The following is a 10550-nucleotide window of genomic DNA, read 5'->3' as shown; positions in this document are numbered from 1 at the left end:
GAGGGACATTTGGATTGTTTTCCATTTTGGGCCATTACCATAAAGCTGCTATGAACATTTGTATACGTGTGGACAGATGCTTTTATTTCTCTTGAGTAAATACCTAGAAGTGGAATGGCTGTATATTTAGCTTTGCAGAAACTGTCAGACTATTTTCCAAAGTAGTTGTACTATTTTACATTGTTAGCAGCAGCGTAGAAGAGTTCCAGTTCCTCCACCCACTTGTCAACACATGGTATCGTCCATTTCTAAAGTGTTACCACTACTAGGTGTGTGGTGGTATCTCAATGTGATTTTCGTTTGCATTTCTCTAATGACTAATGATGTTGAGCATCTTTTAATGTGTTTATTTTGCCTTTCATTTATCTTCTTTGGTGAGGAGAGTGTGTTCAAACCTTTGGCCCATTTTTTTAAAGTTGGTTTATTTGTCTTCTTGTAATTGAGTCTTAAGAATTCTTCACATATCCTAGATCCAAGTTCTTTGTGAGATAGATGTTTTGCATTTAATTCAGTAAGATATATAAACAAGAAAGGCTTATTGTGAGTCCCTGAACCATGCTAAGAGATGAAATAGGTACCATTTGTTCAACATTAAGTATAAATTATACATACAAAAGCTACATATATCCCACAGATGAATTACTTTTCATCTCTCCTTAATGGCACTAGTGGCTCTTAGCCAGATGGGCTGAAAGAAAGCTCCCTGTCCCTACCTTTCCAAGTATTCTTTATTTCTGGCCTCTTGTCCCTGGGGTCCTTTCCTAATTCCACACCCCACTCTGATCCACACCGGCAGATGGACAACTTTGGAGGCAGTAATTACCAACGTCTTTCAGGTGGAGTCTTCATCAGCCACCCATCCTGCACTGACTCATGTCAAGGAGGGGCAGCTGCCTGGAACCCTGTTTTCTCCCCACTGCTAGAGGCTGGGGCTCTTTCTAGATTCTCCTGACTTCATGCAGAAAATTACCAATGTTTTGGTTGTGTTACCTCAGTGATTTTTTTCCGCTGATTAAAAATTAACTCCCTCATTGCTACCAAACCTCCCTTCCTCAGGGCACCAGCTGGGTGGTTGCTGCTTAAGGATGAGCAGCGACTTCTGAGCAGCGCAGAATCACCCCCTAGCTTACTTCTGTCCTGGAGACCCTCAGCTGGGAGCCCACAACGCTAGTCTGTGCTCAGGCTCCAGAGCTTTCCTCAGAATTGATTCTAGAACCCCAGAGGCAGGCCTGAGGGAGACGAGGAGGGAGAGTCCCTGGGCAACGTGCTTCCTGAAAGCACATGTCAGAGTGAAAGCGTGTCCTTATAAGTGGGATTCTCACAGCAGTGGAGTGACTTTGCACAAGACACTTTACCTCTCTCAGCCTCCCTTTCTTCATGATAATGATAATAATCCTCACTACAAATCTGTATTTCATCACAGGACAATAGGAGAAATCTGGCCATCTCATACACTAGGCCTCCCCAAGTCGCTGTCATCTCTTTGCTGGGTTGTTGCAATCACCTCCTCAAAGGCCCCACTCCCACATCTGCAGTCTCTCTTCATACTACAGCCAGGAGGCTCTTTAAAACCAGGATTTTGTCACCAACTTGTCAAAAACCCTCAAATGGTTTTCAGTCTGACTCAGAGTAAAAGCTAAGGTCGACACCATGAACTGCAAAGCCCCGCAGGATTAGATGCTTGCAGCCTCTTACCTCTTAAGCTTTCCACCTCTCTCCTTCCCTTGGCCATGGCCTCCCTCTGTGTGGTCTGGCCATTCTGCTTCATGAGGGCCCTTAGCACAGACTGCTCTCTCCACAGCGTCTCCCCTCACGTGTCCACCGGGCTCCCTCTCTTCCCCCAGCTTTCTGCTCAAGTGTGGCCTTCATAGGGCTGCCTTCTTATCCTCCCTTTCCCTACCTCTTTGCTTTATATTACTCATGGCACTTGCCACTGCATGATGTATTATATGTTTATAAATGTCCCTGGTGTCTGCCTCTCCCCAATAAAGCACAAACACTGTAGCAGCAGGCACATTGCCTATCTTGTGTACAGTTATGTTTTCGGCCTTTAGAATAGAGCCTGGCACACACTAGGAGCTCAATACATATTTGTTGAATGAATAAATAAATGTATCTAGTAGAGTGACCATATAAAATGTTTGCTTTCTTTCCATTTCTTCCTTCTCTTTGAAAGTGATTTCTGTAGAATGGAAGATAAAACAATGTGGGAAATTTCCGGGATAAAATGCAAAGAGTGTTCACAAGTGTTTTAAAATATCATTGGAAATTCACATGAATGTCTCTGGAAAACATAAGGGCTCTTTACATGTGCAAATGCACTCCACCAAACATGACAGAAGTTGGGAAGTACATTGTGAACAGCGTCTGGGAAGGAAGGGACAATAAGCGTGAGCAACTGGGCAGCCAGGAAAAGGAGTGGCTGAGAAAATGAGGGCTCCTAACCAAGACAAGGGCAAGGGGAAAAGATGGGAAAGAGGCAGGGGAGGGAGACACTGATCATCCCGGATGCTGAGAACATAAATTCCCAGCAGACCAGGAGGTGGGGTGGGGGTGGGGTGGGGAGTTTGTGGAGAGTCTTTTTGACTGTAAGCCAAATAGTCAGTGCTGGGGCCCAAACGGAAAGGATTTTACTTCTCTAGGACCACAGGAAAGGAGTCACTTAGCCTGAGTAGGTGGACACGGGACTGAGAACCAGAGGGTTATCACTAAGGCCATAATCAATATGGGCGAGAACCCAGGTATAGCTGCCAGAAGAGGGGATGGTACAATGGAGTGAGGCGGCTGCTCCCCTGGGGACACTGCCTCCATGCCTGGGCACCGAGGAAGGGACATCCACCATGTGCACAGGAGCCAGGGAGACGTCACCACTGGGGACACTGCCTCCATGCCTGGGCACCGATGAAGGGACATCTACCATGTCCACAGGGGTCAGGGAGATGTCACCGCTGGGGACACTGCCTCCATGCCTGGGCACCAAGGAAGGGATATCCACCATGTCCACAGGGGTCAGGGAGACGTCACAGAAAAGGGGATGCTTAGAGAAGGAGGAATTCACAGAGCACACCAAATGAGATGTAAGAAATGTCTACCCATTGGAAGAGCGCTGCTACTTCCTAGATCCAACTGATATCTTGCTGCACTGCCAGACAGCTTACCAAGTGGAATCACCATGGTTCTTTCTCTTGGCCATGTGTTTTCACTGGTGTCATGCAGAGGCTACCACCATTTGAGGAATATGAAGTGAAATTTTAAAGGAAAACCAAAGTAACAGGAAGGTTACCTTTAATGGTATTAGGAAAGATTCTACTCGTGAGAACATTGAACCTTAGAGTGACTTTTTAAATCCTGTATCTTCCATTTTGTTTTCTTTTGCATGCTTAAATTCCCATTTGTCTTGTGTCTGGGACATCTACCCTTGAATAACTCACTGTTGTCTTCAGTCAACACACATGAAACATGCCCCGTCTTCCTTCCCACTTGTCAAAACTACAACAGCTTCCCAACTGGCCTAAATCTCTATCATGTCAACACAGCTCACCTAAATAGTCTATTTTGTTCTTGGGTTTGTTTCTTTGTTTTTGAGATGGAGTCTCACTATGTTGCCCAGGCTAATCTTGAACACCTGAGTCCAAGCAATCCTCCTGCCTCAGCCTCTCAAATAGCTGGAACTACAAGTGCAGACGACTTCCCCGGCTCTAAATAGTGTTTTTATGGTGTCCTTTCACCATGCCTTTTCCCTCCTCACAAGCCTCAGGACTGCTCCCTTACCTACAGGGTAGGAAAACACCTACCTTCTCACTCACACACAGCTCCTTCTTAAAAACTATGCTTTCACTGTGAATATAGTGATGAACAATGAGCTATGGCTTTGGTCCTGTGACATAAAGTCTAGGGTGGTAGGGTGATATTGAGCAAATACTAAGTATTCCATAAAGAAATAATCACAAATTATGAAAACAAAATATTATGTTAGGAGAATCAGATTTTGATGGGGGGTTATGATTAGGGAAAACTTTTTTGAGGAAGTGACTTTTGGGCTGACACATGGAGGATGAGCAGAAGTTGGCCAGGGAAGGACTAACAGAAGGGATGTGCAGGGCACCACGGTGGGGAAGCCCTTGGCCTATGGGAGGAACTGATACAAACCCGAGGGGCTGGAGTGTCATCTATTAAGGAAAGAAGGACAAAAGGTGACACTGGAGAAAGAAGCAGGGTTGTGTTAGCAGCAGCGAATCCATACAAGCCTTCAGCAACTTAAATTCTTGCCTCCTCAGAAGAAAGAATTCAACTGAGGGACCTAAGGCAGAGGGAGCGTCTGAGGCAAGTTTTAGAGCAGGAGTGAAAGTTTATCAAAAAGTTTCAGAGCAGGAATGAAAGGAAGTAAAATACACTTGGAAGAGGGCTAAGTGGGTGACTTGAGAGATTCAAGTGCGCTGTTTGACCTTTGACTTGGAGTTTTATACATTGGCCTGCTTCTGGGGGATTGCTCCCTTCTCCTTGGATTCTTCCCTTGGGGTGGGCTATCCACAGGAGTGTGGCCTGCCAGCACTTGGGAGGGGCCCCGTGCACAGAGTGTTCACTGAAGCTGTGCACATGCTCCCTTGAGGCATTTTCCCCTTAGTAGTTGAGTGTTCCTAGAGGAAGGTCATAGACTAGTTAAACTCCACCATTTTGCCTCTTAGTGCATGTGCTTGAGTCTACTTGCCCAACTCCTGCAATCTTATCAGGAAGCTGCCAATCACCAGCTTCAGGTGTGTCTATTTTAGAGAGACAGCTTAACAACCGCCTGACCATCACCTGATGGCTGCCTGACATTCCTGTGGGGGGTCCTCTCCTGCTCTGCTCATATCTGACTAACCATCTGCTGTAACCACACAGGGCCTTCCAGACTGGATAGGGGTTATAGATCTGCTTGCTGCTGAAGAGAGGATGACTTGGAAGCCAGGAGATTTTAGGAGGCTATTTCATAAGTGAAAGGAGAGCAGGTGGTGGGTCGGACCCAATGGAGAGCAGGAGATGGATGAAATGTCTTAAAGGTGGAATGAATGGGATAAATAGGACATGGTGGTGGATTGGATGTAGAGGGGATGGAAAACAATGTCAAGAAGGGCTCCCAAATTTCAGACTGCTGAATAGAGGTGTCATTTTCCAAGACACGGAAGACAAAAGAGGAGTATGTTTGTGGAGAACGACCCAGCTTAGTCTCACGCAGGTAAACCTTAGGGTACTGGGGGTTCCATCTTTCCTCCTGAGATTATTATACCCATGTTTACAGTTTCTGTCACTCAGATGGCAGTGAAATTGCTTCACTTTCCAGAATGTACATGTGTTTTCTTCCAAACAAGATAAAATGATTAAAGGAGCAGGGGCTTCATCTGCCAGCACACACACGTGAGTGTGCCTCACACTGTCCAGCAGCACCATGTAGCGTGCACCATTAAAGGACCTTGTAAGAATGGGTGAGTCATATTGGACTATAAATGTTTAGCCTTCAAAGCACTGTGAAGTGAGAGGTGATTATCATTATTTTTCAGGAGGAGAAATCTAACCTCGAAATCACTGCATTTTAAATTATGACTTTCTAACTCACCCCAGGCTTCGGTGATGTTTACATGAAGCAGCTGTTCTATGTAAAGATCCTTGTACTAACTACTGCCCTAGGCTGTGACAAAGGAAAAGTCACAGGCAATCTCTTTCTAACCCAGGTCTCACTCAAAATTCCCAAGTTATGTTTTTTGCAAATGGTTTGAGTTTGCCTCTATGATAAGAAAATTTCATTTGATTAAAATGAACCACAGGAAACAATAGGGCCTCTATGAAGTTAGGGAGGCTGGGTGTGATGACTCATGCCTGTAATCTCAACACTTTGGGAGGCCAAGGTGGGAGGATTGCTGGAGGCCAGGAGTTTGAGACAAGGCCTGGGCAATATAGCAAGACCCCATCTCACAGAACTAAATATATATATATATATATATTTAGCCAGTTGTGATGGTGTGAGCCTGTAGTCCCAGCCACTCAGGAAGCTAAACTGAGGGGATCACTTGACCCCAGGAGTTTGAGGAGCTATATTAGCACCACTGCACTCTAGTCTGGGTGACAGAGTAAGACTGTCTCAAAAAAAAAAAAAATAGAGAAATTATAGGACTATGGGACAGTGCTAAGCATAAGTTCATAGATTTTAACTCCTCACTCTAAAGAAGTTAGTCCCAGGGTGGAAGACATCATGCCTGGCCTCAGCCCAGCAGCCCCAGGCAAGGTCCAGTGCGGCCTGGGGTACTGTGGGGGCAGACCCACAAAAGGTGACATCTCCCCATGGCCCACAGCCGATGGACTTCCAGAAGGAGTGTATCGTCCAGCAATTTTGCGAGTCACCCTTATGCAGTTTTTCCCGAGCAGAGAACAGGGAATGGGGGATGCAGGTGGTAGAAAAAAAAATAACCAAAACCACTGTCACAGGTAAAGAAAGATTAAGGATGCCCGCATGTATTAATTTCCTACCACCATCCATTTACTTCACATATGTTGGCCTCTGTTTGCCTGTTTTCCTGTCTGCAAGATACAGATAATAATAGTATCCATGTAGTGGGTTTGTTGTTTGAGAATCAAATGAGCTACTACATGGAAAGCACTTAGAATCGCCACTGGCACATCAGAAGTGCTTGCAACATGTTAGCTTTTATTAAGAGGACTATCACCATCATCATCATCGCCACCATCTCCCACCACTGACAGATTCTTTTATATTCATTTTTTAGATAAGGAGACTGAGGTTAAGCGCACATCAGTCAGCATGGGTTCTGTTATGTTGCACTAACAAATAACCCCCAGCTTCAGGTTATGGACAGCCAGAGACACTTATTCTCACTCATGCTACATATTGGCTCCATGTCCTCTTCCACCCAGAACCCAGGGTGAAGGAGCAGCCCTTCTCTGCGATATCCTGCCTTTCTCACAGCAGATGATAGAGATGGAGGAACCAAGTTTCTACTCCAAAGGGACACATGTCACTTCCACTGTCATCTCTTTAGAAACACAGTCACCTGACAAGCCTCATGTCAACAGCACAAGGAGTATAATCTTTACCCAGGGATGACTCCATGGGAAAGGGCAGCAAATATTTTAACAATCACACAATCTACCACAAAGAGTTTCAATAGCTCACCCAGGGTCACACAGATTTTTAAAAGCCAGGATTCAAAGCCACTTCTGACTAATGCAAAAGTCTTTCTGGGGTCCTGCCTGGCTTTTCCTCCCTTCGTTTTAAGCACATTGTCTTTATGATTACAATCTTCTATCCTTACAATATTTAAAATATAGCAACAACAACAATAGCAAAACAGCAACAATAGCATTTTGAATTTTTTTTTTTTTTTTTTTTTTTGAGGTGGAGTCTCACTCTGTTGCCAGGCTGGAGAGCTGTGGCATGATCTCAGCTCACTGCAACCTCCGACTCCCTGGTTCAAGGAATTCTCCTGCCTCAGCCTCCTGAGTAGCTGGGATTACAGAGTTGGGATTACAGAGATGCACCCCAGCGCCCGGCTAATTTTTGTATTTTAGTAGAGATGGAGTTTCACTATGTTGGCCAGGATGGTCTCGATTTCCTGACCTCGTGATCCGCCTGCCTCGGCCTCCCAAAGTGCTGGGATTACAGGTGTGAGCCACTGCGCCCCGCGCATTTTGAATTTTTAAACTAGCTTTTTTGCAAAGAATCTCAAATTGCAGAGAATCTCAATCCTTACCCCGGGGTCAAAAGCTGGCCAGCCATGTTCGAGATTCCGGCCGGTTCTTTTTCAGCTGTAGTTTAGGATGCTGCTTCTTTGGTTTTCTGGCTTGTGAGATGGGGATAAGTCCATAGCTTCCATTTCAAGAATTTACTGAGCATTTACTATATTAAAAGCCTTATATTAGTTTACTTCTCAAGACTGTGTCAAAGAATAAAATCACAGAGATCATCACTGAAACCCTGCTCATTGGTAGCTGGGTTTATAGGTCCTTCAGTGAACCCACTTAATAAGTTGTGTAATCACACACACAAAAACCTAGTAATTTAAAAATATGGAAATGTACATTTAAGCTCTCTTTCAGTCTTAGATTCATGAAGCTTTCATATCTTCTACAGACTATTTTCACCGCTGAGTTGTCAGGGATGAAGCAGAGCTTATCAGTCTGAAGAGTCAGTGTTTGAACTAAATCTCTTCCAGACACTCCTGCTGAACCGGAAAGCCTACTTGAGGCCTTGGTCTTAGCCTCAACCTTGAGAACACTCAGGAAAAATTAAGTTCCTCTTACCCTCCTTGGACCTCAAATATTTGAGGATGTGGTCACATGGCACCTCCGTGGAAACATGGTCCACTTCCTTTCTCAGAAGGCCTAGTCCTGGGGTGCCTACTGCTCTGACAACACCCTGGGCGCTGGGCTGTTTGTCTCGCCATGGACCAGTCTTTGCTGCATGACTCCGGAGTTGCTCCTCCCCATCTCTCCAGTACTGAGTGCAGGTTTGCATCTAGCGGGCTCCCGAAGTATTCATGGTTACCCTGCATTTGGGGAAGGGGGCAATGGGGGCTGTCATTAGGCTATCTCTGTAACTGAGGCCAAGAGCTATGACTTTTTCACACTGGCTTCTCATGGTTCAACAGCATCCTCACCTAAAGGCAAAATATGATGGAGATGGAGGTGGGGGAGAGCAGGGAGGGGGCTCCTAAGGGGGAGGGGAACCCAGGACAGCAAGGATAGAGAGGGTCACAGCAAACATCACTTTTCATCTGTCCCTGGCTGCCTCTGCACTGAAAACTCCTTCCAGTCTCCCCAAGGGATAAGTATTGAGAAGTTTCCATCTCATTAACCACACAGTGGACCCAAAGGAAGGCCACGTCCACCTCCCAGGGCCAAACAATCCCACAGCATCAGGGGTCCCTCCGCCTCTCCCTGCTCCTGAAGCAAGTGCATGAGGCCGTTTAGCAAGGCATCCTCCTGGAGTTGCAGTCAAATGGCTCATGTCCAATCCCCAGCTCACAGGAATGTGACCAACACATCTGCTCTAAAAACTTCCAGAGTCCTTGGTGTTCTTTTTTATTCTTTTAAGCTGTAAGTTATGCCCTCCAGCTTACCTGCCCTCCACACGTTGGAGAAGGGCACATATCTCACCTCCAAGGGAGTGGTCGTGAGTGTGAAGAAAGAGTTTCAGAATGGATGGGAGAAAATAGGGAATTAACAGAGAGGTTTTAAAAATACTTAGTACAGATTTTTCTTAATGCAATCACATCATTCATTTTTAACTTATGACTTGCTGGAAGAGCTTCCAAAGTCAGCAGTCTGAGCATTGCCTGGGTTAGTAGAAGAGGGAGGCTTTCGGAGGAGGATTGCAGTGGGTTCCCTCTCCCTGCCCATCTCTGTATGGGTCCCTTCCCCAGGGTCTCTCCCTGCCCTTCCCACTGCTTTGAAAGGAGACTGACCCATGAGGCTGCTCCAAGTGTGAGTGACCCAAATGAAGCCATCCCCTTCCCAGCAGGAGAGAGAGAGGAGGGCACTGCTTCCCCCCGGGTTTTCATCTGATTTTCTCAGCGGATGTGGAAGTGCCCTTTCTTATCATTCTCAAATGGCTGATGGGAGAAGCCATGGCTGGGAGACTGGGTAAGGGGTGGAGCAGGGAAGGCTGGCTCCGCATGGGAGCCTACCCGCCTGTGCCCGCTCACTTGGCCAGCAGCACTGGAAGGGAGAGTTTTTAAATGGGGGGTTTAAATACTCATGTTCTCACTTATAAGTGGGAGCTAAATATTGGGTACACATGGACATAAAGATAGGAACACTAGACACTGGGGACTACAAGATGGGGAGAGAGGAAGGGGGGCAAAGGCTGAAACCCCACCTACTGGGTGCTAATTGCTCACTTCCTGGACAATGAGATCATCCACACCCCAAACCCCAGCATTGCAAAATATATCCAATGTAACAAACCTGAACATATACCCCCTGAATCTAAAATAAAAGTTGAAATTATTTTTTATTACAAAGAAAAAACCATTTTAATGGGTTTTGGTGTACAGCAAATAAATGAACACAAAGAGTGTTATATAATTTTATTAGAAAGTTTGACTAATTAATCATAGAAATAAATGGGCAGCATTTTTAACCAATAAATAGAAGATGTGAATTCTTTTCAAATACCAGACAAAAGTATTAATATGTTAAATGGAAAGTTTTTAGGACTAAAAACTGTTACTGAATTAGAGACAGAAATTCAACAGGCCATATTTTCTGAACACCGTAAATGGCAGTAAAGTATCAATTAAAATGTAAACAACCAGTAATTTCAAGACACAAACAAATTTCATTTAAGACCTTCTAAATTAACTGCTGCATTAAATGGAAAATCTAAACTGAGGTTATTTTTAATGAGTCAAGGAACTTCTAATTTAGCAGCATGGTGCTGAAGACCTGAGTTCAAGTAAATAATTCTACCAATATTAGCTTAGCGTTATGGAACAAGAGGCATTCTGACCACATATAATTATTATTCTCTGCAGTGTAGTATTGTCATTTAGGAAACA

This window comes from Homo sapiens, chromosome 1 (assembly GCF_000001405.40).
Source record: "Homo sapiens chromosome 1, GRCh38.p14 Primary Assembly".
Taxonomy (NCBI): domain Eukaryota; kingdom Metazoa; phylum Chordata; class Mammalia; order Primates; family Hominidae; genus Homo; species Homo sapiens.
Note: the sequence above shows the minus strand (reverse complement) of the source record.